This window comes from Homo sapiens, chromosome 12, assembly GCF_000001405.40.
Source record: "Homo sapiens chromosome 12, GRCh38.p14 Primary Assembly".
Lineage (NCBI taxonomy): Eukaryota > Metazoa > Chordata > Mammalia > Primates > Hominidae > Homo > Homo sapiens.
The window spans coordinates 6,556,871-6,584,834 of NC_000012.12; the positions used below are offsets into that span (position 1 = coordinate 6,556,871).

Genomic DNA, 27,964 nt, shown 5'->3' on the forward strand with positions numbered 1-27,964 from the left:
CAGAGGTTTTAAAATGTGTATTAAATTTCATGGGTATGCACAGTAGAGAAGGCATCCTCACAGAGGCAAGAGTTCCAACCTGGTGACAATGGCAGTGAGCCACCCGTCTAGTTTTCAACCATCTAAGATAGCAGCAGCTGGCTGTTGCCCCTGGACTGAGATTTCTTCCTCTTTGCTGGTGGGGGGCGGCTGGAACGGATGGGAGACACAGTGGGAGGCTGAGGCCCCTTGGGGGTATCATTCTGTTTCTGGAAGGCAGCTTTCTCAAAAGGCTGCTCTGGCAACTGCTGCTTCTCAACCCCCTTGGCCCTTCCAAGGGGCTGATGATGGTCCTTAGGTTTCAGGGTGGCCTGAGTCTTGGATGGGGATAACACAGCCGGTGTTTGTGTGTCTGTGCCCTTGGGAGGGGCATTCTGCCTGAGGAAAGCAACTTTCTTGGAGGACTGTAATTTAGGTGATCGTTGCTTTAGCTTCCCAGTCACCTTTGGCTCCCTGATCCCTTCGGCTTTTCCAGCTGGCTGACTGCTATCCTGGAAGCTGGAGGAAGCTTGGGTCTTTGTGACAGAAGGTACAGTGGACAATTCTGAGTCTGCCCCTTTGGAGATGCCATTCAGCTTCTGGAAGGAGGCCTTCTTGGGATGTTGCTGTTTCTGCAGCTGCTGCTTTGTCTTTGCAGCCCCCTTGGCTTTCTTGGCTGGCTGGCTGCTGTTCTCAGACTTGGGGATGACCTGAGGCAAGTCTACATTTGTAGGTGTGGCTGTTTCAGAATTTCCTGGGGTTAAAATTAAACAGATGGTGTCAGAAAATGGGCCTTATCACCATATTTTAATATTCTCATATTAAAATATGAGAATTGCCATTTCCTGGGCAGGAGCTCCACACAATTAGGTCAGTGCCTAAGAGCAGATTACCTAAATTCCCATTACTTAATATAACTTGGCCTTTACTCAAGTCCTAGTTGAACCTTGTATTAAAAGATCACTGCCTATAGGCCAGGCGTGGTGGCTCACACCTGTAATTCCAGCACTTTGGGAGGCCAAGGCAAGTGGATTGCTTGAGGCCAGGAGTTCAAGACCAGCCTAGCCCACATGGTGAAACCATCTCTACTAAAAATACAAAAATTAGCCAGGGATGGTGGTACACACCTGTAATCCTAGCTACTTGGGAGTCTGAGGCACAAGAATCGCTTGAACCTGGAAGGTGGAGGTTGCAATGAGCTGAGATTGCACCACTGCAGTCCAGCCTGAGCGACAAAGCAAGACACCGTCTCAAAAAAAAAAAAAAAAAAAAAAAAATCACTGCCTATCCTTGGGCCAAAAGGTTTCTACAGGAAGCTGCGCCCTCTTGAGGACAGGAAGTAACAAGATGCTGTAAGGAAGAGGTGATTCTCAGGGTTTTGGGGTTTTTTTTTTCTTTTTTTGAGATGGAATCTCACTCTGTCACCCAGGCTGGAGTGCAGTGGTGTGATCTCGGCTCACTGCAACCTCTGCCTCCTGGGTTCAAGCAATTCTCCTGCCTCAGCCTCCGGACAATCACAACCGTGCGCCACCATGTCCGGCTAATTTTTGTATTTTTAGTAGAGATGAGGTTTCACCATGTTGACCAGCTGGTCTTGAACTCCTGACCTCAGGTGATCCACCTGCCTCAGCCACCCAAAGTGCTGGGGTTACAGGCGCGAGCCACCACGCCCGGCCTCGCAGGGTCTTCTAAATGAATTTGAAGCACTAGGCTTTATTTATCTTTTTTTTTTTTTTTTTGAGGTAGAGTCTCACTGTGTTGCCCAGGCTGGAGTACAGTGGTGCCATCATAGCTCACTGCAACCTCAAACTCCTGGGGCTCAAGGGATCCTCCTACCTCAGCCTCCAGAGTAGCTGGAACTACTGTCTCCCTTTGTTGCCCAGACAGGTCTCAAACTCGTGGTCTTAAGCAATCTTCCCACCTCAGCCTCCCAAAGTACTGGGATTTATAGGCATGAGCCATCACCACACCTGGCCTATTTATTTTTTAAATCAGAGAAGTTTCTTTCCATGTGAATTGTGATGAAGTGCGGGATAATTAAAATATGTACTTTTTAAGTTATAGCAAATTTTACTATTCCTTTTTTTTGAGATGGAGTTTTGCTCGTTGCCCAGGCTGAAATGCAATAGCGTGATCTCGGCTTACTGCAACCTCCACCTCCCAGGTTCAAGTGATTCTCCTGCCTCAGCCTCCTGAGTAGTTGGGACTACAGGCACGTACCACCACACCTAGCTAATTTTTTTTTTTGGAGACGGAGTCTCACTCTGTCGCCCAGGCTGGAGTGCAGTGGCACAATCTCAGCTCACTGCAAGCTCCGCCTCCCGGGTTCATGCCATTCTCCTGCCTCAGCCTCCCGAGTAGCTGGGACTACAGGCGCCCACCACCAAGCTCAGCTAATTTTTTATATTTTTAGTAGAGATGGGGGTTTCACTGTGTTAGCCAGGATGGTCTCGATCTCCTGACCTCGTGATCCACCCGTCTTGGCCTCCCAAAGTGCTGGGATTACAGGCGTGAGCCACCGTGCCTGGCCACACCCAGCTAATTCTTATATTTTTAGTAGAGACAGGGTTTCACCGTGTCGAATTCCTGACCTCAGGTGAGTGCTGGGATTACAGGCATGAGCCACCACGCCCAGACAAATTCTACTATTTCTAAAGTAGCACTTCTCTCCCTCTTCCAACTAAACCCAGGGTTATATCCCAGTAAGCAGTGCTCTCAAGGCTGTTTCAGAAAACCCCACCCTTCCCTTGAGATCCAGGCCAGACTCCTCAAGATGGCTGAGAAAACAATCTGCAATGAGTGTGAAGGGCTCAGAGAACTGCTGACAAAGCTCTGTGGAGCTCTGTTCCAACCCAGTGCTGAGATTGCTGGACCAGCAGAGGTCCAGTACCAGTAAGTCCACCCTGTGCCAAGAAGGAAAAGAAACCACAACCTGCATTTGGAATGCATTTAGTGCTGAACAACTGCAGCCACTTGGCAGAATAAAGGAACAGGCCTCCATCCATATGAACACTTTAGCCTGTTCACATGGGGTCCAGCACTCAAAAGCAATTCTAGCTGGAATGAGAGGGTTCTCTCAGCCAAGCATGCAAAGGCTGGAGTAAGGGATGCATGAATCTTTCCTTTCCCTTCCTCTTGTCACACCATAAAGCCTCCTGAAAGGTGGAAAGAGCAAAGGTGGTGACGAAGGGAAGAAAAAGATTACTTACCTGTCTGGGACTGAGGGATAGAATTGGAAAATTTCTTGAACTTGGCAATGAAGAACCCATCCATATTGTGGGTATGAGGGTAGAAGCGTCGGGTAGAACGCAGACTGGGGTGGAAGCGCCTTTCTCGAAAGCGGGTAAAACCTTCCTGGCCAAAGTCTAGGCCCGTGGGCACCAGTCGCACATTCCTCTTTTTCAGAGCATAGTCTACCACCCACTCATTCTCTTCTACCTGGATGTGGGGGGAAGACAAAGAACGGAGGAAAAAGCAGAGCTGGAGCTGAAGGGAGCTCTAAGGGGCAAAGAGCCCCCCAGCCCAGCCTCCCCTGCTCTGCCATGGCAGAGGTCTCACTGTGATAGAACAGGTGCAGTAAACCAGGTAGCCTCCTGTCTTGGAGGTCGCATTGACAGAGTCAATAGCACTCAGGAGCAACTCCTTCTGGAGGTGAGCACAGCGCAGGATGTCCTTCTCATCCTGTCCCAAAAAGAGACCCAAAGGCAGCCTCAGGAGGAGAGGGGAGCCCAGAGGGTGTCCCCATCTCAGTTTCCAGCTCTACGAGACCCAGCCAAGGCCTCTCAGGGGCCCACCACCTGACTCCTCACCTTGTTAGTCTTCACGGCTGGATCCTTGGAGATGACCCCAGTGCCACTGCAGGGAGCATCCAGCAGTACTCGGTCAAAGCCCCCCACCACCTGGAGAAAAGATACAGATGAATCATATGTCTCTTCTGCAACCAGCAGGGCAATATTTACTAGGGTCGAGTCTAAACATTGAGGTCAGGAAGGGAGAAGGTCAACCGGAAGAAGCCTCAGAAGACACACAGCTCGAGTCTCACCTTGGGGAACTGGCGCCCATCATAGTGGCTGATAATGGTGTTGGTGACTCCCAGCCGATGCAAGTTGCCCACAACACTCTTGAGCCGCTCAGCATTGGCGTCATTGGCAAGGATCACACCCGTGTTCTTCATCAGCTGGGCTAAAGAGAGGGCAGTAACAGTGCTGATCAGCCAGTTCCACTGTCTCCACACTTGCTCCCACCCTCCTGTCCAGGAATCCACATGAGAAGTGTCATCACCTCAAGGCAACTTCGCTCCCAACAAGCCTGCCTACTGTATAGGCTGATCCACTCTGCACTAGCCCCTGGTGATCGGCAAGTCTACCGATGTGGTTTTCCCATTTTTACCAAACACCTATGTGGTCCTACATACTAAATTACTTCTTTTAAGTGACAGCAGCTTAATAAAAGTTATGGCTGCTGACTATGTGCTGAACACTGCCAAGGACTTCTAAACGCATCATTTTAACCCTCACAATCCAAGCGTAATACAAGGGCCAACCCAAGCACAATTACCATCCCATTTTATGGATGACAAAAGAGAATCCATAGTCAGATGGGTAGTAAGTGGCACACTGGAACCCAGGCCGACTCCAGAAACTGGTCCTCACCACCCTGCTAGCTACCTGCACATTGTGTTCCATGAGCACTAGTGAGTCAGCAACCCCAGCAACCCCATCTACTTTCAAAAGCAAGACAGCCCGATGAATCCCACCTGCCTGCCCCTCTCATACCCATGTAGCTGGTCTTTCCTCCAGGGGCACAACACATGTCCAGGATCCGCTCATGTTCCTGGGGTGCCAAGGCCATGACGGGCAACATGCTGGAGGCTCCCTGCAGCATGTAGTGCCCAGCCAGGTACTCGGGGGTAGCACCTGTGGAGAAGGACCACCCTGTGACATGCGGTAGGGACAGGGACAGAGGTAGAAGGGCTCTTGGGTGGGGGAGACTTACCAATGGGCACAGAAGAATCATACACCACTAGTCCAGTCTTTGACCACTTGCCCAGGGGATCCAGGTTAACCCCACGATTGATTAGAGCCTGAAAAGGGATGAAGATTTTTTTTTTTTTTTTTTGAGATGGAGTCTCACTCTGTTGCCCAGGCTAGAGTGAGGTGGCGCAATCTCGGCTCACAGCAACCTCCACCTCCCAGATTCAAGCGATTCTCTCGTGCCTCAGCCTCCTGAGTAGCTGGGACAACGGGCATGTACCACCATGCCTGGCTAATTTTTGTATTTTTCATAGGATGGGGTTTCACCATGTTGGCCAGGCTGGTCTCTAACTCCTGACCTCAGGTGATCTGCCCGCCTCGGCCTCCCAAAGTGCTGGGATTACAGGCGTTGAGTCACCGCGCCCGGTAGGGATGAAGATTTTAATAACCTCATAGGCTACTCTACCCAGAAGACAGATGAAGACATTAAACACATGCTTCATAAAAACATGGCCCATACCCCACAACTCCTATAGTGCTTACTCCAAACACAGTCATCATGGAGTCATTGAGCAGTTTCTCTCTCCCACTCCATCCTATGGTGCCCTTTTTTCTTAACCTCAGGCTCCTAACTCAAGATCTGAACTTCATCCCAATGGAGCAGGATGCCACCTCCTGTTACTTTATTTCCTAGAAGTGGCATCTGATTTTCTAAGAGGCTGAGCCCCTCCACTATACTAAAAATTTAATGACATTGGTTATACCACATTACATTATTAGGTTTTCTTCACACCAGGAAATATACAACACATATAACCCAACAACTGACTTTACAACAGGGGTCTTTAACCTGGGGCCCCTGAACCCTTGGAAATGAGTTTAAAATATTGACTGTGCATATGTGTCTTTTTTGTGCAGTCAGGAATCATATTTCCCCAGCTCCTCAATGATCTCCCTCCAATTTCCTTGGGGGCAGCACGCTCATCCTGAAGTCTCATCATCCTAGTCACAGGGAGCAGAGTATGAACTTCCCATTCCACAGAGGTCCTAGGCCCCCAGATCCTATCCTGCCAGAGACATCAGGCCTCTGGGTTTGCCCCCCCAGGATCATGCTTAGGTCCTAAGGCCCCACCCAGTCAGGGTAGCACAGAGGAATCTCTGGAGTTGGCAGAAGTCACTTCCCTTCTGAGATGAGTGAGCCTCAAAGGCCACCCCTCACCTGTGCAAGGTCTCGGCGTCGGGTTTTCAAGGTATTGGTCCGGAGGGTGACGGGCCGAGGCACCTCATTAGCTTCTAAGAACTCCACCAGCTGCGGGGCAAGACAGCAGGGAATAAGTGAGGCTGGCTAAGGAGCTCAGTCAGAAGAGGGGAGCAAGGGGGCCGAACATCTTCCTTACACAGCGTAAGGAGGCGAGAAAAGAAAAGCAAAAGAGGCATTCTGGCAATCCAGTACCTCAGACAGAGGGAAGAGGTCCATGAGCTTGCCAAGCAGGAAGTCTCCATAGGAGTAGTAAATGGCCAGATCCTTCTTGAGCCGGTTCAGGTATTCAGAACGAGACCGCCCTTCCTCCCGCTGAGCCCCAAAATCACGCAGAATTCCCACAATATCCTGGATCCGCTTGTGAACTCGTTGCAGGTCTGGAGCCTGGGCATGTGGGCCTGTTAAGGAACTGTGTCATGATGTCCTAAGGCCTGGAAATCCCTCTCCCAACCACCTTCCTCCTAACTCTTCACTCTGCCCTGCAAGGATATCCTGCTCCATCTCCCCAGCAGGGGGCAGCACAAATGGTTCCTCATCCACATTGATCTGCAGGCCCCCATCTGCCTCTTCCACCTTTGGGGGGCCTGACTCAGGGGTCACTTCTTTCTCTTCCTCCTCGTCCTCGGTCTCCTCTTCACTCCACTGGATCCTAGAAACAGGTCCAGGAACAGAGTGATTCACAGACCAAAACAGATACCTCCTCCTTCCTCACAGCTTCCCCACCCCAGTGGCTTCCTATGCTCCATCCCAATAGCTTCCAAAACTCACCCAGCAGCAGCTTCCCGGGCCTTCTGCTTCCGAGCAGCTCTTTCAATGGGCAGCAACTGAAGAGAGACAAGGGCTATTAATACAGGCCTGCCCTTCCATCAGCCCTTGTAGCAGTTCTATCTCTATATCTTATTTTTTCGCTAAATAAAAATCCAACACTTGCTCTCAGAAGGAAATAGAGGAGCAAAGAAATGAAAATAAGATGGGCGCAGCATTGCTCACTGTTGAAACTAAGTAATGAGGGCATGGTGGCACACACCTGTAAATCCCAGCTACTTGGGAAGCTGAGGCAGGAGAATTGCTTGAACCCGGGAGGTGGAGGTTGCAGTGAGCCAAGACCGAGCCACTGCACTCCAGCCTGGGCAACAGAGAAAGACTTCATCTCAAAAAAAAAAAAAAAAAACCTAAGTAATAAATTAAAGGGTTCATTACATTTTTCTTTCTACTATTATGTTTTTCACTTTTCCATTAAGAAAAAAAAAAAACTTGAAAAATACCTGGATGTATAAAGAAGGACAAAAATGGCCCTTGACTACCATTCTGCCATATTTTTTTTGAGAGAAGTCTCGCTCTTGTCCCCCAGGCTGGAGTGCAATGGCGCGTCTTGGCTCACTGCAACCTCCGCCTCCCAGGTTCAAATGATTCTCCTGCCTCAGCCTCCCAAGTAGCTGGGATTATAGGCGCGCACCACCATGCCCAGCTAATTTTTTGTATTTTTAGCAGAGATGGGGTTTCACCATGATGGCCAAGCTGGTTTTGAACTCCTGACCTCAGGTGATCCGCCCACCTCGGCCTCCCAAAGTGCTGGGATTACAGGTGTGAGCCACCGTGCCTGGCCCATTTTGTCGTTTTTTTTTTTTTTTTACTTACTCTGTATTTTTCACATAATCCATTTTCAAGTTTGTTTCTTGCTTTTTAGACTTCAGTTACATCACAGGCATTTTCATAGACATAATGACCAGTGTAACTGCATCATATGCATGAACCATAACTTACTTAAGCATATTGTGTATTTTGGAAGTTTCCTGAGTTTTTGGCATTATGATCCACATGGTGCCTGCAAACCTAATAATGACCCTGTAGATACAAGGGGATGTAGGAAGGGGGTGCACATGGGGACCTTCTCTTTTTATTCTATACGATTCTAATAATACATCCACACACTAATTGTATAATAACTTCCTGCACCTCAGTAAAGAACTATTTGCTGACATTTTGGATCATCTTCCTTAATAGGGAATTACTATGTCAAAAGGAAGCAGTTATTTTTTTTTTTTTTTTTTGAGACAGTCTCACTCTGTCACCCAAGCTGGAGTGCAGTGGTAAGATCACAGCTCACTGCAGCCTCAACCTCCCAAGCTCCAGTCATCTTCCCGCTTCAGCATCCTGAGAAGCTGGGACTACAGGCGTACGCCACCACACCCAGCTAATTTTTAAACCATTTTTTAACTTAACTTTTTTTTTTTTTGAGACAGAGTCTCACTTTGTTGCCCAGGCTGGAGTGCAATGGCATGATCTCGGCTCACTGCCATCTCCGCCTCACAGGTTCAAGCAATTTTCCTGCCTCAGCCTCCCAGGTAGCTGGGATTACAGGCATATACCACCACACCAGCTAATTTTCATATTTTTAGTAGGGATGGGGTTTCGCCATATTGTCCAGGCTGGTCTCGAACTCCGGAGCTCAGGTGATCCGCCCACCTTGGCCTCCCAAAGTGCTAGGATTATAGGCATGAGCCACTGTGCCAGGCCAATTTTTTAATTTTTTGTAGATACGGGATCTCCCTATGTTGCCCAAGCTGGTCTCCAATTCCTGGGCTCAAGCAATCCTCCTGCCTCAGCCTCCCAAAGTGCTGGGATTACAGATGTGAGGCACCATACCCAGCCAAAAGGAACAAATTTTTCAAAGTTCTGAGATAACTGCTTTATAAAAAGTGCATTTCTGTGCCCATCAGTGGAGCACACCATTGTCCACCTTCCCATACCTACACCAAGACAGCCTTCTAGATTTTTTTAAATGCTCTATCCTACAGCTCTTTCAAACTTGTAGTGCACTGGGAGGATATAAGGCAGTAGGGAAACAGTGATGGAGCACAAAAACCCCTTTCCTCTAGTCAGGCTTATCCTTGCCACTAAGAAACAGTCTCAAGAATCTGGGAAAGAAACTAAATAGCAAGGATCCTTCTATGAATGCCCAAAAAGATGAATCTCACCGCTTCACCTTCCTCCTCATCCTCAGAGTTGGAGTCAGCTCCATAGTCATCTACCGTATCAGCATCGTCCTCGGAGCCCCAGAGGTCCCCGTGGTTCACCATACCATCTTCTTCAGAGTCTTCCTCCTCCTCTTCCTCATCACTGCCAGGTGCTGGGCGCTTCTTGCCTCGAGGAGCATTAAATAGGGACTGGGGTCCCTTCTTACCAGCTGTCTGGACAGCTCCTGCAGAGATCCCTAAGGGTTTGAAGAGTCCTGGACTAATGGCAGCCACACATTCCCTGGCCCCACACCCTGGGAGCCTGTACTTTCTACCCCTCAGAATGTCCTTTGGCTGTTCCTTTCACTCCGGAAATGTTTAGCGAGTTCTTCCCTACCCAGGACCCAAAGGGACTCCTCATGTAGCATCCAGCTCTTAGTTTCACGGACCTTTTGGTAGCTTTCCAGGCAATGGTTTGGCCTCAGGAGACTTATTTGTCTTAGGGGCTTCAACAGAGCCCAATCTCCTCTTGGCTGCCCTGAAAAGACACAAGAGATTCAAGGAGTGAAGAAATGGGAAGATACTTCCAGGCTCTGCCATTTCCACCATAGGGAAATGTGAGAGTCTAGAATTAACTCTGTGGTCAAAGATGAGCAGTACCAATTTAACCTACTTAAGTTTTGACACCCACACTTACCTCTTTCGAGCACGACTAGACAGCCTCTTGGAATTTTCGTCACTTACTGTTTAAAAAAGAAAAACGAGGCAGAACAAGTTACAGGGGACATTAAAAATAAATGGGAACGGAAATAAACATGGTAAGAGAATTAGTACACTAATTAAAAGGAGTCCATTTAAATCTCAGCCCTGTTATTATTTAATAACTGTATACAAGTTTCTTTTTTTTTTTTGAAATGGAGTTTCACTCTTGTCTTCCAGGCTGGAGTGCAATGGCGTGATCTCAACTCACTGCAACCTCCTTCTCCCAGATTCAAGCGATTCTATTGCCTCAGCCTCCCATCACCACACCCAGCTAATTGTTGTATTTTTAGTAAAGACAGGGTTTCACCATGTTGGCCAGGCTGGTCTCGAACACTGGACCTCAGGTGATCCACCTGCCTCGGCCTCCCAAAGTGTTTCCTTAATAGTGCCTCTCTCACAGGACTCTAAGATGATTAAGCGATATAACATGACCAACAAGTTTAATACAGTGCCCAGGACTTCCTACTATCTCAATAAACTGCATCCTTTATCCAATGCCCAACACAAACTCCCGGTCCAGTGTTACCTCCCACCAGTCTTCCACACAGTATACTACTACTCGGCATGAAGCAGCCAGATCCGTGCTTTTCCATTTCCACCCCTTCCAAAAGGCAAATCAGTGACTGACCCCTCCCCTTCACTACTTCCTCTTGCTACAATGTTACCCATTTTTCAAAACCCAGCTTAACAAAAACTTTTACAGTTCTGCATGGGCTCCCCCTTCCTCTGAACTCACAATTGTTTTAAATCACACTTTTCCCTTGCATGAATAATAGTTGTGTCCGTGTCTTCACATCTCTACGACCTAAACAGTTCCCTACAATCTAAACGGCTGTTTCATTCATACCTCCTAGTAACTCATACAGAGAAGATTCCACTTAAATATAAAATGAACAGAAACTAAAAAAGAGAAGAGGTTATAATACAGAATACTGCAAAAGCTGAGGGATCAGGAGGCCACAACTAATCCTTACCTGCAGGCAAGAATCTGACGAGTTCTGTCTCGGCACCCTTCTGCTTCCGGGCCTTTCGGCCTGGCCCCCGCTTCTCCTTCGTAGGGTCCAACTTGCGCCCCATGGTACTGTGGCAGGCAGAAATGGGAGAAGGTGGCGTCGCGCGTGTCGGAGGGAACGGCAGAACGCACGCTTGGCGTATTATAGTGGGAAAGGGCACAGCCTCAACTCAGCACCCGCAACTCACTCAGCACTCCCGACTCAGCACCCGCGACTCAAGCACCCCCGCTATCCCCCTGGAGGCCCGACCGAACGCCCTCCCACCTGAAACCCAGGTAGCGCACCCTTCTCCCCACGTCCCAGACCAGGTCAGTGCTGCCACTCTTCGTCCCCCAATTTCCTCTAGACCCACCAGAATGCGGGTTAATGTCCGAGAGTGCCCTTCGGGCGGCCCTCCACGTGCAATCCGGACCTAGCTTTCGGCCGGCACTCGCCACAGAATCGTTCCACGCAGGCGCACGGGTAGCGCTAGCCTCGCGGCCCCGCCTCTTCCTGTTGCGCCTAGTCGGCCGCCGCACCCGGAACTTACGCTCGCCCTGGGAACGCCAGCGGAGCCGGCGGCGGCGAGTAGGGGGCAATTCGAAGGAGACGCGCAGCTTACACCCGCGGCGGGTGGAGGGAGCAATGTGACGAAACCATTGAGCTTGACCGACCTTCCCTCATGGAGTTGGCTTTTAGCCTCACGGCCGGTTTCTGTTGGGTGAAAGCCGCACCTTCTCCTCGAACCAGGGCCCGACATTGGAGCCCTCTCCCTCGCATCCACTGCCCTAGTCCAGCGTCAAGATCACGGAATTCCAGGCTGGGCGCAGTGGCTCACGCCTGTAATCCCAGCACTTTGGGAGGCTGAGGTGGGTGGATCACTTGAGGTCAGGAGTTCGAGACCAGCCTGGCCAATATGGTGAAACCCTGCTTCTACTAAAAATACAAAATTAGCCGGGCGTGGTGGCGGGCGCCTATAATCCCAGCTACTCGAGAGGCTGAGGCAGAATTGCTTGAGCCCGGGAGGCGGAGGTTGCAGTAAGCCGAGATCGTGCCACTTAAGCCTCACCAAGAGCGAAACTCCACCTCAAAAAAAAAAAACAAAAAAACCAGCCGGGCTCGGTGGCTCACGCCTGTAATCCCAGCACTTTGGGAGGTCGAGGCGGGCGGATCACGAGGTCAAGAAATCCGAGACCATCTTGGCCAACCTTGTCTCTATTAAAAATACAAAAATTAGTTGGGCATGGTGGCTGGCGCACGCGTGTAGTCCCAGCTACTCGGGAGGCTGAGGCAGGAGAATCGCTTGAACCCGGGAGGGGGAGGTTGCAGTGAGCTGAGATCGCGCCACTGTACTCCAGCCTGGCAACAAAGCGAGACTCCATCTCAAAACAAACAAACAAAAAAAACCGTGGAATTCCATGCCACTTACCTCCTCCTCTTTGCCCCTTTTTTAAAAATCTTTTTATAGAGACGGGTTGTAGGGGGTGGCGTCTCACTATATTGCCAGGGCTGGTCTAGAACTCCTGGGCTTAAGCGATCCTCCTGCCCCCACCTTTGTGCTGAGATTACAGGCTGTGAGCCACCGTGCCCCGCCCTCCCAGCACCTTCCTTGATGCTGACCCCTGCTCAGCCCCTCAATTAAGGTGCTGCACTGCACCTCATTCGCAGGGGGCCTCTTCGCCGGAACTCGCTTTCAGGTGGGTCTACAATTAGTTGGGAAACAACGGGTTGCAAGGCTGACCTGGTCTGGGACATGAGAAGGGGTGAACTACAAGGGTTTCAAGGTTGGAGGACGTTAGGTCGGGCCTCCGGGGGTGTGGGATTGAGGCTGTGTTCTTCCACAAATTGCATCCCAATTTTGCACAACTTAGCAAGAAAACCCCCCTCAGCCTTCCTAGAAACTAACATTAAGGTAGTGGTTAGGTGTTAAAACCGTTCCATGTACTTCACTGGTTTAACTTGACAACCGTATGAGGTATACATGAGATATCTGCATCCCACCAAAGTTAAACAACTTGCTCAAGGTCACAGAGCCATTAAGCGGCGGTGCCCGCAGTTTTGCAGCCTCTCATTTTCCACAGGTGGAAGTCAACGTTGGCAAGGCACATACTGCACCCACACACAGAACCCAGTTACTCAGTGGGGTATCAGGACACCACGTAGCCCTTAATTTTCAACTATACAGGTGCCAGGCTCCTGCCGCACACACTCATCCACCTGCACCTACACCCACACTGAACCAGAGCACTAAAATACAAGGAAACTTTTATTTTCAATTTTCATCAAGAAATTTGCTGTGGTTTTTTATGCTTTTGGTTTTTTCCTTTTTTTTTTTTTCCACTTTATTTCATTTAGCCGCTCAGTGGCTAGAGCCGCTGGGTTCCTGGTATTAAAAAGATGCCAACAGAGGTAGCTGTGTCTCGCCCAGGGGCCCAGCCCACTCTGAATACCCCCCAAAAAGGAGAAAAGAAAACACAAAATAAACCAACAAAATAAAACCAAAAGGAGGAAAAAATTCAGATCATTTTCTTCAAGCCTGGCAGGAACCCACAACAGTTTGTGTGTAACAGGCGTTACAGTGGGGAGAAGCCAGGGTCCAGAAGGCCAGCCCGCCAGCTCCTGCAGATGGCGCCAGCGCTACTGCTGCATGTCTCTTCTGCAGGAAGGGCACCACTGCCCCTCACTCCCTCCCCTCCCCCAGTGCACTGGGGCTGTTCCTTTACAACATGGAAGATGGGCAGAAGGAAGGTGAGGGTCTCTCAGGCCCCCAGGGGAGAAGCTGGGACAAGAGAAAGTGAGGAAGGTCACTGCTCAGCGGTGGAGGTGGTATCAGTCTGCATCTTCACTGCTGCTGGGCTACCTAGAGAAGGAGACCCGAGGAGTCAGAATTCCAGATGATAGGAATCCACCCAATCTCAAGGGAATTCACTGATAGGCCACCCACCCAGTATGTAAAGCTAGGGACATACAGCAAAGTTACAAGCTCCAGAATGGTTCTGCAGGAAGAGGTGGTGTCAAGAAGAAAATGGTCCTACCTGCTGTGGGGTAGGTTCGGGTGCCCGGTTTGCCAGGCGGCTGAGAATGTTACGCTCTGACATCTGTAACCTCACAGCAACTGGGGGAATTCGGGCAATGGTAGCTGGGAGTCGAGTCACATCAGCTTTCATGTCACTCAGCAGTTCTTCCAGCTGTTTCAGAACTGCATAGGGAGAAAAAGAGGTGGTGAGCTGTGGTGGCCCAGACTGAGCTCCCTCTACCCTAGTGGACCAGCCCCCCATCACTTCTCAGTGACCAAGTAACTGTGATGTATTGTCTTCTGTCATCTGACCTGACCTCCACCATGTTCAAATTCCTACTCCTCATATTCCAGTTCCAACTGTCCATGATTTTGTGCTTTTTAAAGTCACCTAAACCTTCACTATCCCTTACTATTATTGTATTTCCTCTTCTTGAGCTTATTCGTTTTTTCTCTTCTCTACCTTCAGAATCTGTCTCCCCACCTCCATTATAACAGCATTCTTTTCCTTATTTCACCCTCCGCCTCCTCATAACCTTTTACTTTAATTAGAAACAAAATGTTGAAAGGGGTCTAGAATTTGAAGGGATCTTTTATCACCTGAAGTTACCTCTAAAGTATCGCAAATGACACTGTATTATTCTGCTTTGCTTTCCATCTCAAGAACCTGAATATGTTTAAAGTTAAAAGAGGTGGCCGGGTGCAGTGGCTCACACCTGTAATCCCAGCACTTTGGGAGGCCAAGGCAGGCGGGTCACCTGAGGTCGGGAGTACAAGACTAGGCTAACCAACATGGAGAAACCCCATCTCTACTAAAAATACAAAATTAGCTGGGGCGCAGTGGCTCATGCCTATAATCCCAGCACTTTGGGAGGCAGAGGCGGTGGATCACCTGAGATCAGGAGTTCAAGACCAGCCTGGCCAACATGGTGAAACCCCATCTCTACTAAAAATACAAAAAATTAGCTGGGCATGGTGGCAGGCGCCTGTAATCCCAGCAACTTGGGAAGCTGAGGCAGGAGAATCGCTTGAACCCGGGAGGCGGAGATTGTGGTGAACTGAGATCGCGCCATTGCTCTCCAGCCTGGGCAACAAGAGCAAAACTCCATCTCAAAAAACAAACAAAAAAACCCAAAATTAGCCGGGCATGCCTGTAGTCCCAGCTACTCAGGAGGCTGAGGCAGGAGAATCACCTGAACACAGGAGGCGGAGGTTGCAGTGAGCCGAGATCACGCCATTGCACCCCAGCCTGGGCAACAAGAGCAAAATTCCACCTCCAAAAAAAAAAGGTGGCCAGGGCGGAGCACAGTGGCTCACACCTATAATCCCAGCACTTTGGGAGGCGGAGGCGGGTGGATCACTTGAAGTCAGTTTGAGACCAGCCTTGCCAACATGGTGAAACTCCATCTCTACTAAAAATACAAAAATTAGCCACAAGTGGTGGCGCATGCCTGTAGTCCCAGCTACTCGGGAGGCTGAGGCAGGAGAATTGCTTGAACCCAGGAGGCAGAGGTTGTGGTGGGCCAAGATCACACCACTGCACTCCAGCCTGGGCAACAGAGCTAGACTCTATCTCAGAAAAAAAAAAAAAAAAGAGGTGGCCAGGTACAGTGGCACATATTTGTAGTCCCAGCTACTCAGGAGGCTGAGGCCGGAGGATCACTTGAATCCAGGAGTTCAAGACCCACCTGGGCAAAATGGTGAGAGCCCATCTCTTTTTTTTCTGGAGTCTCACTATGTTGCCCAGGCTGATAGCCTGTGCAATGGCACAATCTTGGCTCACTGCAAACTCCGCCTCCCGGGTTCCAAGCGATTCTCCTGCCTCAGCCTCCTGAGTAGCTAGGATTATAAGCGTGCGTTGCGCCACATGCCCAGCTAATTTTTCTATTTTTAGTAGAGACGGGGTTTCACCATGTTGGCCAGGCTGGTCTCGAACTCCTGACCTCGTGATCCACCTGCCTTGGCCTCCCAAAGTGCTGGGATTAGAGGCGTGAGCCACCGCGCCCGGCCAGGAGTCCATCTCTTTAAAAAAAAAAAAAGGCAAAGAACTACTGTCCTTGATTGCCTCTAAGATACTAACCTCCCAAGGATGGCAAAGATCCCTAGCACCTCCTAAACTCCCAGACAAAGGAGCTCTGAAAGTTTGAAAACAAATATATGTACATTAGGATGCAGTCAGATCAGGGAGGCCGAATCGGCAGGAGGCAGGGGAGCCACTGGCTACCTTTGTGCAGGACTGCATTGGCTGGCTTGTTTCCTGCCATTGACTCCTTGGACAGGTGCTGATGACTTTCCGCCAAACACTCCACCTCAGCAAAGCGGGTGTTGAGGGCCATGGAAGGGTGAGAAGGGTCTTCTGACATGTTCAAGTAAGCAGCCCGGCGCAGCTGTTCCTCAATCACCAGAGCTTGTTCTAAGAGCTGGACAAGGGATAAGAGGAAACGGGAGTTCGACTGATAACTCACTTTACTCACTTCTGACTGGCCTCTCAGCTCACCTCTCATTGTTTCAGATGGTAATAAGAACCTATGAAGAACTTCATGGACAGCTCATTCCCACACCCAAGTAGTTTAACTTTGCCTTGTAACTTTTTTCTTTCCCTTTTTCAATGTCCTCATTTTTAAAACTCTTTACCCTTTAGGTTCTCTTATACAAAAGCGATAAAAACTCAATTTAGAAAATAGAATATCAAAAATTTTTAACAACAGATAATCCCACCTTCTAGAAATACATCCTGATATTTTTCTTTTTAGGTTTTTTTGTGCATAGTTTTTTACATAACTGAGATCATACTATATACATACCCATATTATGTTTTCATTTAGTTACACAGTTAAGCATCTTCCTTTTTATCATCTACTCTTTATCAACTACTCTTCAAAAACATGTTTTGGCTGGGCACGGTGGCTCACACCTGTAATCCCAGCACTTTGGGAGGCTGAGGCGGGCAGATTACTTGAGGTCAGGAGTTCAAGACCAGCCTGGCCAACATGACAAAACCCCGTCTCTACTAAAAACACAAAAATTAGCCAGGTATGGTAGTGCGCACCTGTAACTGCAGCTACTCAAGAGGTTGAGGCAGAAGAATGCTTGAACCCGGGAGGCAAAGGTTGCAGTGAGCCAGGATCGCGCCACTACACTCCAGCCTGAGTGACAGAGGGAAACTGTCTCAAAAAAAAAGGGGTTATTTTGCTATTTAAAAATATTTTTGTTTTTTATTTCCTCTTATCGCCATCTCACTCCCATTCCTCTGAAAAGCAACTTTTCTAATGTAGTAATACTGTGGCTTTTTGTGTAGGTTTTTAAAAACTGTTTCTGTTTCCTATGTATGTTTCTAAGTTACAGAATGATGTTTTCTGTATCTATAAAATGCTTTTTCTTCTCCCACTACATACCTTTTAAAAGGTACTCTTATGTTGTATGCACATGAATTTTGTTGCTTCTGTTGTTTAATGCCCCATGATATGAATACATGTTTCACCTATGCATTCTCCTAATGCTGAACATTTATGTTGCCTCTAGGCCCCCACCACCAAAAATCATACTGCAAAAACACTCATGCACATGTCATCTGATGGAGCTGTATTAAAGATTCTTTGAAATATATCCCAAGAGGCAGAATGTTGGTTCTTAATTTATGAAAAGATTTTAATTACTTAAAAAATATATTCATAAAACATATGACTCAACATAAGAGAAGATTTCTCATACCCTTCTCCTCTCCTAGTGTCAGCCAGCAGTTCTATGCAGATGATTTGATGCTTCTCAAACATGTACCTTCAGCACTGGTTCTGATCCCACTAGTGTATGGTGATGGGGGTCGGTAGTGGGAGGGGTGCTGATTTGTGAGAAATACCAAAAGACTTGTCTAAAATTCGATATCATTCTTTTCTACAAACTGCTCCCTCTCTTCTTAAATGACAATTTAACTTTCTCAGTGACTCAGGCTCAAAATGTTATTTTCAGTCTCACTCATTCTGTACCTCAAATCCAGTAAGTCAGGAGTTGGCAAGCTACAGCCTGTGGGCCAGATCTGCCCCACCACCTGTTTTTATATGGCTCAAGAGCTAAGAATGGGTTTTACATTTTAAAATGGTTGGCAAAAAGTCAAAACAAGACTATTTCATGCCACTTCATGAGAATTATACAAAATTCAAATTGTAATATCCATAGATGAAACGCTGAAACACATCCTAACTTATTCATTTATGTATCCCCTGTGGCTGCTTTCACACAACAAAGATGGAGTTGAGTATATGCAACAGAGACTACATGTCCCACAAAGGGACTATCTGGCCCTTTAATAGAAAAGGTGTGGTTGGGTGCAGTGGCTCACACTTGTAATCCCAGCACTTTGGGAGGACAAGGCGGGCAGATCACCTGAGGTCCAGAATTTGAGACCAGCCTGGCCAATATGGCAAAACCCCATCTCTACTAAAAATACAAAAATTAGTCAGGCATGGTGGTACATGCCTGTAATCCCACCTACTTAGGAGGCTGAGGCAGGAGAATCGGTTGAAGCCAGGAGGCAGAGGGTGCAGTGAGCCAGGAAATGTCGCCACTGCACTCCAGCCTGGGCAACTGAGTAAGACTTTGTCTCAAAAAAAAAAAAAAAAAAAGGGTTTTATTAACCGTTTTTGGTTTGGGGGGAGAAAAAAAGGTTTGCTGACCCCTACAGTAAGTCACTAAGTCCAATAAATTCTTTGGTGTTGTTTCCTTTATCTTTACCCTTTTCATTTTCCACAACCAGCATCACAGCCCAGACCCTTAACACCTCATGATTATATGACAGTTTTATAATCTTATGAATGCTGTTTCCATTTCCCTTGGTCCTATCAAAACTCTGCTCACAAACTTTCAGTGGCTGCCCATTAACGATAGCGTAAAGTCCAAACTCTCTTATCTGGTGCCAAGAACCCACCTACTGACCTCTAGCCCGTCCACCTTTCTCGTTCCAACCTACCTCCCACCATCACCCAACACAAATGTTTCCCTACAGCTCAACTGGGCTATCTGCTATTTCCAGACATACTAAGCTTTGCTGGCTCACATCTTTGCCCAACCTAATCCCTTTGTTCAGATACCCTTCTGTTTCTACCAAAAAAATCTCCGTCGCATTCTTCAAAACTTCATTCCAATGCCATCTTCTCCATAAAGCCATTTGTGAGTTCCGTCCCTACTCCAATTCCCTCTCGAGAACTTTTTTTTTTTTTTAAGACAGGGTCTTGGATGGGCACAGTGGCTCACGCCTGTTATCTCAGCACTTTGGGAGTCCGAGGCGGGCAGAACATGAGGTCAAGAGATCGAGACCATCCTGGCCAACATGCTGAAACCCTGTCTCTACTAAAAATACAAAAATTAGCTGGGCGTGGTGGCACACGCCTGTTGTCCCAGCTACTCGGGAGGCTGAGGCAGGAAAATCGCTTGAACCCGGGAGGCAGAGGTTGCAGTGAGCAGAGATCTTGCCACTGCACTCCAGCCTGGCAACACATCAAGACACTGTCTCAGGAAAAAACAAAACAAAACAGGGTCTCACTCCAATGCCTAGGCTGGAGTGCAATGGCACAATCTAGGCTCATTGCAGCCTCCTAAGTAGCTGGAACTACAGGTGCACGCCACCAGAACTGGCTAATTTTTGTATTTTTTGTAGACATGGGGTTTTGCCATGTTGCCCGAGCTAGTCTTGAACTCCTGGACTCAAGCAATCAGCTCTTTTAAATGCTGAGATTAGCCACTGTGTCTGCCTCTCTGAGAACTTTCTTTTCTTGTCTTTTTTGAGGTGAGTCTCGCTCTGTCGCCAGACTGGAGTGCAGTGGTGCGATCTCGGCTCACTGCAACCTCCGCCTCCCGGGTTCAAGCGATTCTGGAGAACTTTCTTATGCCAATCAGCAATCTCTCTCCTGATATGCAGAATGGCATTCATTTGATTACACATGTGCTCCTACTTGAAACTGAAAGCTCCTTGAAAACAGATACCATGCTTTGTCTTTTTATCCCTGGGCACATCATTGCTTAGTACATAATACCTGAAGGCTTATTAGTGTACCATTTCTTCCCCGATTATACTCAGCGTACGAGACAACAGACACGTCTTTTTTTTTTTTTGAGACAGAGTCTCACTCTGTTGCACAGGCTGGAGTGCCGTAGCACGATCTCAGCTCACTGAAATCTCTACCTCCCGACTTCAAGCGATTCTCCTGCATCAGCCTCCCAAAGTGCTGGGATTACAGGCGTGAGCCACCGCACCTGGCCCACACAGGCACTTTTTAGCCCAGAAAAAAGAACCAGGCCAGGCATGGTGGCTCATGCCTATAATCCCAGCAATCTGGGTGGCCAAGGCAGGTGGATCACTTCGAGGTCAGGAGTTTGAGACCAGCCTAGCCAACATGGTGAAACCCCATCTCTACTAAAAATCCAAAAAAAACAGCTGGGTGTGGTGGCAGGCGCCTGTAATCTCAGCTACTCAGGAGGCTGAGGCGGGAGAATCACTTAAACCCAGGACACAGAGGTTGTAGTGAGCAGAGGCTGCATCACTGCATTCCAGCCTGGGCGACAGAGATTCTGCCTCAAAAAAAAAAAAAAAAAAAAAACAACCAGCAGCCCACTGACTAATAGCTCTACATCTTCAGAGATGCAATTCAATCCCACCTCTATATCTTTCCTGAATACTCCAATCTGCAGTGTTCCCCAAACAAACCCCTCTGCACTAGTGTGTCACTGATTGGACACATAGTCACCTACAGCTCATGTACAGTTAGTTAACTTTCAATTCTGTGTGTCTTCAACCCTAATGTGTAAGTTACTTGGGAGCAAAGCCTTCCATAGAATGAAGAAAGTGAGAACAGTGCGCTGGATGGACAGACTCCCTCTGCTGCAGGACGTTACGCACTTTCAAGTTTGTCACTTAAGCAATATATTCCTCCCCAACCGCTCACCTTAAACCTTCGAGCTAGAAATTTATTCTTGATCTCTAAGAAATTGCCACGGTTCATTTCACCCTTGAAAGGCTCATTGAGGATGGCATAGCGTGGGTCATTCTGGATGTCTTGCCACCGGGCATAGCCATGGCTATTGGAAAAGTGCTCAGGAAAAACAAAACAAGGAAAGTAAGAACCTCAAACTAAAAGACCTTCAGAACCTTTCACCAAAAGCCTCAGTACAGATTCAGGCAAAGGATACTTTATAATGCCGGCTAGCAGCCAGTAGTCATGCCGTCGATGCCAGATCTCATAAGTCTTCTTGGTAACTGTGGCTGCCCGCTCTTCATTCTGCCAAAGGGAGTGCAACTCTGAGGAGGAATTTAGGGAAGGTTGGGGGTGGGGGGAAGCAAACATCTGTGAGAATTGAAAAAGCTACTTATTCTTGTCCCCCACCATCCCCTACCCCTGGATCCATTTCATATAATTTGCTTCTGGCTTTCTCCACAGAACCCACTATCAGTTTGGCATTCCCTCATCAAACAGAGGTAAAGAGGTAAAGTCCCTGTACCGTGGTTTCTGACAAGAACCCCAATTTCACATCAGATCCTTCTAACCCTGGTGGGCCCCTCATTTCCATACCAGTAAAACCACCATCTGCAATGTTAAACATGAAACGTTGTTTAATATTTTTCTTCTGTTTCTCATCATTCAGGTCCTTGGGGGTCTCTCCATTCTGAAGCATCACCTCTTTTTTCTCTTCTTCTTCTTTCTTCTCTTCTACAGAATATGGGGAAGAAAAATGTCAGCTCCAGCCAAAGCCCAGCACCATCGCCCTTACCCAGAACACTGTATGCTACAAGAATCCATCCACCTACACCCCTTCTCCACCTGGGTGTCTCTCAGACCCAGAAAATGGTGCCATTGGCCCACTGACAACTAAATGTGGGGACAGGTACAGTCTTTTATCTTGGGATAAAATGGCTAGATGAGTATGGACAGGGAGGCAGGGCAGATACAGTCCTTGCTTCTGGTTTTAGAGTTCTTCTGAACCACAATCAACTTCTCCAAACACCCACCTTTGTCTTCTACCACAATAGGGGTCAGATCTATTGCTGACTTTTCCTCCACCTTCTCTACATCAGCAGCACCTAGGGGAAGAAATGTTATTGAGACTATACCTAAAGGAAGAACATTCTCCTCTGTTGCACACTATTATCCAATTGGATAGACCCACATCTAAATGTCTGCAATTACAGTAATGTCAGCTGGGCATGGTGGCTCATGCCTGTAATCCCAGCATCTTGGGAGACAGCAGCAGGCAGATCACTTGAGGTCAGGAGTTCAAGACCAGCCTGGCCAACAAGGTGAACCCCAATCTCTATTAAAAATACAAAAATTAGCTGGGTGCGGTGGCTCATGCCTGTAATCCCAGCACTTGGGGAGGCCAAGGTGGGTGGATCACCTGAGGTGAGGAGTTAGAAACCAGCCTGGCCAACATGGTGAAACCCTGTCTCTACTAAAAGTACAAAAATTAGCCAGGCGTGGTGGCTCACACCTGTAATCCCAGCACTATGGGAGGCCGAGATGGGTGGATCTCTTGAGGTCAGGAGTTCATGACCAGCCTGGCCAACATGGTGAAACCCCATCTCTACTAAAATACAAAAATTAGCCGGGCGTGGTGGCGCATGCCTGTAATCCCAGCTACTCAGGAGGCTGAGGCAGGAGAATTGTTTGAACCCAGGAGGTGGAGGTTGCAGTGAGCCAAGATCACACCACTGCACTGCACATCAGCCTGGGCGACGGAGCAAGACTCCATCTCAAAAAAAAAAAAAACAACAACAAAAAAAACAATTAGCCAGGCATGGTGGCTACTCAGCAGACTGAGGCAGGAGAATCACTTGAACCCAGGAGGCGGAGGTTGCAGTGAGCCAAGATCGTGCCACTGCACTCCAGCCTGGGTGACAGAGTAAGACTCCGTCTCAAAAAAAAAAAAAAAAAAAATTTTGGCCAGGCGTGGTGGCTCACGCCTGTAATCCCCGCACTTTGGGAGGCCAAAGCGGGCGGATCACGAGGTCAGGAGGTGGAGACCATCCTAGCTAACACGGTGAAACCCCGTCTCTACTAAAAATACAAAAAATTAGCCGGGCATGGTGGCAGGCGCCTGTAGTCCCAGCTACTCAGGAGGCTGAGGCAGGAGAATGGTGTGAACCCGGGAGGCGGAGTTTGCAGTGAGCCGAGATGGCGCCACTGCACTCAAGCCTGGGCGACAAAGCGAGACTCCGTCTCAAAAAAAAAAAAAAAAAAAAAATTACGTGGGCATGGTTGTGGCACGCCTGCAATCCCAGCTACTCAGAGGCTGAGGCAGGAGAATCGCTTGAACCCAGGAGGCGGGAGTTGCAGTGAGCAGAGATCGTGCCACTGCACTCCTGCCTGGGTGACAGAGTGAGACTCCATCTCGAAAACAACAACAACAACAACAACAACAACAAATAAAGTCATAAGAGATACCTTAAGTTAGGGGAAAACCTGCCACCTAAAATCAAGGGTGCAGGATTCTTCAGTGTGTCGCTTCCTCCTGATATCTCTACAGCCCCAGCAAAAATTCACGAGTGACCATGGTTCACACAGGGATCTGTAGTGCTTAATATGGATACCGGCCAGGCATGGTAGCTCACGCCTGTAATCCCAGCACCTTGAGAGGCCAAGGCAGGTGGATCACCTGAGGTTAGGAGTTGGAGACTGGCCTGACCAATATGGAGAAACCCCCTCTCTACTAAAAAATACAAAATTAGCTGAGCATGGTGGTACATGCCTGTAATCCCAGCTACTCAGGAGGCTGAGGCAGGAGAATCGCTTGAACTCAGGAGGCGGAGGTTGCAGTAAGCCGAGATCGCACCATTGCACTCCAGCCTGGGCAACGAGTAAAACTCCTTTGAAAAAAAAAAAAAAAAAAAAAAAGCCAGGCACAGTGGCTCATGCCTGTAATCCCAGCAATCTGGGAGGCAAAAGCAGGTGGATCATGAGGTCAGGAGATTTAGACCAGCCTGGCCAACATGGTGAAACCCTGTCTCTACTAAAAATACAAAAATTAGCTGGGCATGATGGCGTCTGTCTGTAATCCCAGCTCCTCGGGAGGGTGAGGCAGGAGAATCGCTCGAACCTGGGAGGTGGAGGTTGCAGTAAGCCAAGATCGCGCCACAGCACTCCAGCCTGGCGGCAGCACTACACTGTCTCAAAACAAACAAACAAACAAAAAAAATGTGGATACCTTTACCTTTGGGCTCTGTCTCCATAGGTTCCTCTGTTCTCTCCTTCACCTCTGCCTTTTCCACTTTCTCCTCTCCCTCAGGGGGTTCAACAACGACCTTTTCATCCTCTGAGGCAGGGGCAGGGGCCTGTGTACACTTCAAAGGAAAAAAAAACAAAAACAAAACAGATGAAGCAGACAGGCCAGCAACTAAAAGGAAGACTGGACTTACACATTTGTCTTTAGTATGGCATTCAGTCACCCCATCTCTTACCTCAATGGCAGTCTCAGGGGCTGTAGATTTAACCTCCTTTTCTCCTTCTATGCTCTCTTCTTCTTTGAGGCTATTTTCCTCTATTTTTATCCCATCTTCTGCAGAACAATAAAAGACAATCAATTAGGAAGAAGGTACTAGATCAGAGAGAAGGTCATTTCTTCCCAGTTTGTCTCATCTTAAATTGTCCTCTCGTGCCTTTAAGAGCCAGCCCTATTCTTAGGACGGCCCTCCTAAACTGAGAGGGAATTGCTGTGTGTCCTGCCAGACTACCCTGTTAGAACTGAGCACAGGGGAGCAGAAAAATAGGCCAGGACAAAAAGAGAGGGACAGAAAATGATAGGACAGGCAGACTTACCAGCAGGTGGGACAGGTGCAGGAGTGTTGGGCTGCGTGTCCCCTGGAGTGGAGGGTGTAGGAGTTTTTGGGGAGGGTGACCCTGGCTGGGACATCTTCTTGTTTTCCTCCACCTCAGCCAGTTCAGGCATGCTCCAGCGCCCATTAACATGTTCAAACTCCTGAACCTGTAGCAATGGGACAAGAAGTTGAAGACCCAATTCCAGCTACAGGCTCCTTTCCTATTGGCCTTCCAGTCTCCGCCTCCCGGGTTCAAGCAATTCTCCTGCCTCAGCCTTCTGAGTAGCTGGGAATACAGGTGCCCGCCACCACGTGCAGCTAATTTTTGTATTTTTAGTAGAGATGGGGTTTCGCCATGTTGACCAGGCTAGTCTCTAACTCCTGACCTCAAGTGATCCACCCGCCTCAGCCTCCCAAAGTGCTGGGATTACAGGTGTGAGCCACTGCGCCTGGCCCCCTAGAAACAATGGCAAGAGGCTCAGGGCTCACCTTCTTGCGAATCAAAGACATAACACCAATTCTAGTAAGGACATGCTGGCGAGACAGGCCTTCTCGGGGGACACCATCAGCAAAGGTCTCAGCCCCATCTGCCCCCGGCTCACATAAATGCCGCATGAAAAGAGAGACATATGCCCTGTGTAAAGAAGTAGAGAAAGAGTTAAATAGGGATCATGCTGACTCTTAGATTCTTTTCCATCCCTTCGTGAGGCATTATCACAGGCAATAACTATGGCTCCACCTTGAGGTAAAGCCCACCACTGCACGGGAAGGCTGATCTCTAGACCCCACAAGAAGACCCAGGTTCTCTTCCAGGGAAGCTAGGAACACATTACTAACAGCTTCACCTGCCAACTTCAACAGAGAAAATAGCCCACTTCCCTGCACGGCTAGGCCTAGAACCATGGAATGACCAGATAGATAGCAGAAGCCCTTGCTCTAGATCAGTCCACTCCAGCCCTCAACTCACTTGAACTCTTTCTCTGATTTGCCTCGCAGGTCTCTTACAAGCCACTGGGTAGTAAAAGCATCCTGAGGTGGCATACCATATCGCATAATTGCATTAAGAAAGGCTTTTCGCTGACGAGCATTAAAACCAAGTACCTAGGGGAAGAAGAAACCCAGGTGAGAGGCAGCAGGTCGCATTCCACCAAAGATGCAATATCTGACACTCACCCCTCCTTAGAATCGTATGGCACTTACTTCAATATTCCCACCAACACGGGCCAACAGAGGAGGCAATGGCTTATCTTTATCATTCCGCAGGCCCTTACGACTGGGCCTACGGGGAGCTGCAAGAAGAAAAAGATGAATGAGTGACACAGGTAGGATATTAAACAAAGCAACATTTAGAAAAGCAACAAAAAAAGCACAGCCCTCACCTTCTGAACGTTCATCAAAGTCTTCATCACCTTCCTCTGAAGCCACTGAGTAATCGGACTGGTTGTCGGACTGGTCGTCCTGCCAATCTGGAGGGAGAGAGGGCAGATGAGCGGGGCCCACTGCTCTAGTGGAACGGCCCATGGGTGGGGGGCGGGGCCGGCCACACACACCTCGGTCCTCCTGGGAGCCATCATTGTAGTTGACCTGTTTACGGATTCTTTTTCCTTTGCCCAGATTTCGGGCTAGATCTTCTTGCTGCTGCTCATAATGGTGCCGCAGCAATTTCTCCCAGTAGTCAGGATCCACACTTTCTTCCTGTTTAATGATTTCCCGTTCTACCTCCTCTTCCTCCTGGGACAGAGGGAGGGCCAGGACTCAGGAGTGCTGAAGTCAGCACCACCAGCTACCCCTGGTCCTCACAGTTCCCACTCTGCTAGCTCCTTTTCATGACTGGACTCTTAAATACTTGGTGTGCCTGTTTGGACCTAAGAACTTAGAAGAAATTTGATTGAGAGTACACAGCTCCTCATAATTACATATAGATTAGCAGTCAGCATAACTCAAGAAAAACATGGGATAGAGCTATTATCACAGGTAAGGATGAAGAGACAGAATGCTTTCTTCTAACCCCTTGCACTGATGCATATACAATTGAAAGATAGCAAAAAGAAAAGAGGTCAGAGCCTTAGCAAGGCAGAATGGAGAAACTTCTGAAGTACTGTAAAAGATTTTCATAAGAGAGAAGGAAGGAGAGGATGACTATAAGCCTTTCTATTCTTCATAAACTTCATAAAAGCTTACCAACTGTCTGCAGAACGAAAAGAATTCTATATAGCCTCTTATGTCCCAAAAACGTTGATACTCCTCTAAAAGTGAATTTTTTTCAGACACTTGAGGACCACTCACTGATTCCACATCCCTTATATTGGAATTAAACAGCTGCTAATAGCATAACATTAGAAACAACCTAAAAGCCCATCATTATGGAACTAATTAAATAAATTACAATCGGCCCTCTGTATCCACGGGTTCCGCACCTGTGGATTCAAACAACCATAGATGGAAAATATTCAGAGAAAAAACAAAATTATGTCTGTACTCAACATTTACAGACTTTTTTCTTGTCATTATTCCCTAACCAATGTAGCATTTACATTGCATTGGTATTACTTTTATGTTTACAAGGAAAAAAAAGTCTTTGGGTACATATATGTGAGTGTACATATATGTGTATGAATATATGTATAATTTGTATACACATAAAATATTTTTGGAAAGATATAAAAGGAACTGAAAACATTAGTTGTCCCCAAGAAGGGAACTAAATTGTTAGAGGACAGGAGAGAAAAGAGATACGTGTGTGTACATATAAATATATATATATTTTTTTGAGAGAGGGTCTAGCTGTGTTGCCCAGGCTGGAGTAGAGTGGCGTCATTACGGCTCACTGCAGCCTCGACTGCCAAGTTTAAGCAATCCTCCCACGCAGCTGGGACCACAAGCGTGAGCAACCACACTCGGCTAATGTTTTTATTATTTAGAGACGGAATTTTACCATGTTGCCCAAGTTGGTCTCCAACTCCTGGGCTCAAACGACCCTCCTGCCTCAGCCTCCCAAAGTACTGGGATTCTAGGCATGAGCCACCGTGTCTGGCCCTTTTGTGTATTTTGAACTATGTAAATTCTATCTATTAAAAATAAAACTTAAAAATATTTTAAAAGAAGTCAACAGCAGCTATAGTCACTAATCAAAGAACAATTTGTATACTTATGTAGTCACCAGCAAGGATGATCCACTTAGCATGTG

At 48.0% G+C, this 27,964-nt stretch overlaps 2 protein-coding genes, 1 long non-coding RNA gene and 1 other non-coding gene across 11 annotated transcripts in view, besides 3 other annotated features; 1 reads left to right on the forward strand and 3 right to left on the reverse strand.

The window, feature by feature from the left end:
- Positions 1 to 11,421, reverse strand: NOP2 (NOP2 nucleolar protein). Of its 5 annotated transcripts, none has more exons than NM_001258310.2 (17): positions 11,337 to 11,421; positions 10,946 to 11,052; positions 9,907 to 9,952; positions 9,659 to 9,747; positions 9,231 to 9,454; positions 7,021 to 7,076; positions 6,744 to 6,901; positions 6,445 to 6,644; positions 6,211 to 6,300; positions 5,014 to 5,101; positions 4,794 to 4,934; positions 4,061 to 4,200; positions 3,828 to 3,917; positions 3,577 to 3,699; positions 3,228 to 3,456; positions 1,146 to 1,267; positions 1 to 772 (listed from the first exon to the last, which is right to left on the reverse strand). In NM_001258310.2, exons 2-16 carry the CDS (start codon positions 11,046 to 11,048, stop codon positions 1,158 to 1,160), a joined length of 1,887 nt encoding a protein of 628 aa, NP_001245239.1. In that variant the 5' UTR covers positions 11,049 to 11,052; positions 11,337 to 11,421; the 3' UTR covers positions 1 to 772; positions 1,146 to 1,157. The 5 variants fall into 5 exon arrangements, with proteins under 5 accessions (NP_001245239.1, NP_001245238.1, NP_006161.2 ...); NM_001258309.2 differs by lacking the exon at positions 1,146 to 1,267 and adding an exon at positions 7,280 to 7,378 and having other exon boundaries at positions 9,231 to 9,466; NM_006170.4 differs by lacking the exon at positions 1,146 to 1,267.
- Positions 11,271 to 11,892: an enhancer, noted in NCBI's record as "H3K27ac hESC enhancer chr12:6677307-6677928 (GRCh37/hg19 assembly coordinates)". NCBI's record gives its function as "activates a minimal SCP1, AML or CMV promoter by ChIP-STARR-seq in primed H9 embryonic stem cells {active_cell/tissue: H9 hESC(primed)}" and the evidence as "EXISTENCE:reporter gene assay evidence [ECO:0000049][PMID:30033119]".
- Positions 11,501 to 27,881, forward strand: CHD4-AS1 (CHD4 antisense RNA 1). Of its 2 annotated transcripts, NR_199066.1 has the most exons (4): positions 11,501 to 11,832; positions 12,535 to 12,660; positions 21,683 to 21,851; positions 25,774 to 27,881. It is a non-coding gene; the product is annotated as a CHD4 antisense RNA 1 (long non-coding RNA). The 2 variants fall into 2 exon arrangements; NR_199067.1 differs by having other exon boundaries at positions 11,501 to 12,660.
- Positions 11,716 to 11,765: an enhancer, noted in NCBI's record as "active region_5867". NCBI's record gives its function as "activates an Ori minimal core promoter by ATAC-STARR-seq in GM12878 lymphoblastoid cells {active_cell/tissue: GM12878}" and the evidence as "EXISTENCE:reporter gene assay evidence [ECO:0000049][PMID:35858748]".
- Positions 13,212 to 27,964, reverse strand: part of CHD4 (chromodomain helicase DNA binding protein 4) — a 37,298-nt gene continuing 22,545 nt past the window's right edge. For 2 of the 3 annotated variants that reach the window (NM_001273.5, NM_001297553.2), the window contains 15 exons: positions 26,328 to 26,508; positions 26,157 to 26,243; positions 25,978 to 26,066; positions 25,745 to 25,878; positions 25,267 to 25,411; positions 24,779 to 24,944; positions 24,421 to 24,518; positions 24,174 to 24,303; positions 21,976 to 22,047; positions 21,539 to 21,676; positions 21,159 to 21,267; positions 20,915 to 21,047; positions 16,204 to 16,399; positions 13,999 to 14,162; positions 13,212 to 13,823 (listed from right to left, as the gene is read on the reverse strand). In NM_001273.5, coding sequence (NP_001264.2) covers positions 13,806 to 13,823; positions 13,999 to 14,162; positions 16,204 to 16,399; positions 20,915 to 21,047; positions 21,159 to 21,267; positions 21,539 to 21,676; positions 21,976 to 22,047; positions 24,174 to 24,303; positions 24,421 to 24,518; positions 24,779 to 24,944; positions 25,267 to 25,411; positions 25,745 to 25,878; positions 25,978 to 26,066; positions 26,157 to 26,243; positions 26,328 to 26,508 — 1,860 coding nt within the window. In that variant the 3' untranslated portion in view covers positions 13,212 to 13,805. Of the gene's footprint in view, positions 13,824 to 13,998; positions 14,163 to 16,200; positions 16,400 to 20,914; positions 21,048 to 21,158; positions 21,268 to 21,538; positions 21,677 to 21,975; positions 22,048 to 24,167; positions 24,304 to 24,420; positions 24,519 to 24,778; positions 24,945 to 25,266; positions 25,412 to 25,744; positions 25,879 to 25,977; positions 26,067 to 26,156; positions 26,244 to 26,327; positions 26,509 to 27,964 lie in introns of all 3 variants that reach the window. The other variant, NM_001363606.2, reaches the window with a different exon arrangement.
- Positions 13,433 to 13,727: an enhancer, noted in NCBI's record as "tiled region #3501; K562 Activating non-DNase unmatched - State 17:Gen3', and HepG2 Activating DNase matched - State 12:CtcfO". NCBI's record gives its function as "activates a minimal TATA promoter and a strong SV40 promoter by Sharpr-MPRA in K562 cells, with weaker activation in HepG2 cells {active_cell/tissue: HepG2 | K562}" and the evidence as "EXISTENCE:reporter gene assay evidence [ECO:0000049][PMID:27701403]".
- On the reverse strand, positions 24,603 to 24,739 carry SCARNA11 (small Cajal body-specific RNA 11). Its single transcript, NR_003012.1, has one exon.

What these genes read in the sequence shown, in the direction of transcription:
- NOP2 (NM_001258309.2), bottom strand. Translation starts at nt 11,048, where the DNA reads ATGGGGCGCAAGTTGGACCCTACGAAGGAGAAGCGGGGGCCAGGCCGA. An exon ending in TCTAGTCGTGCTCGAAAGAG is followed by an intron (nt 9,748 to 9,906) that starts GTAAGTGTGGGT and finishes GTGTCTTTTCAG; the next exon opens with GGCAGCCAAGAGGAGATTGG. An exon ending in TGCTGGGGAGATGGAGCAGG is followed by an intron (nt 6,645 to 6,743) that starts ATATCCTTGCAG and finishes TAACAGGCCCAC; the next exon opens with ATGCCCAGGCTCCAGACCTG.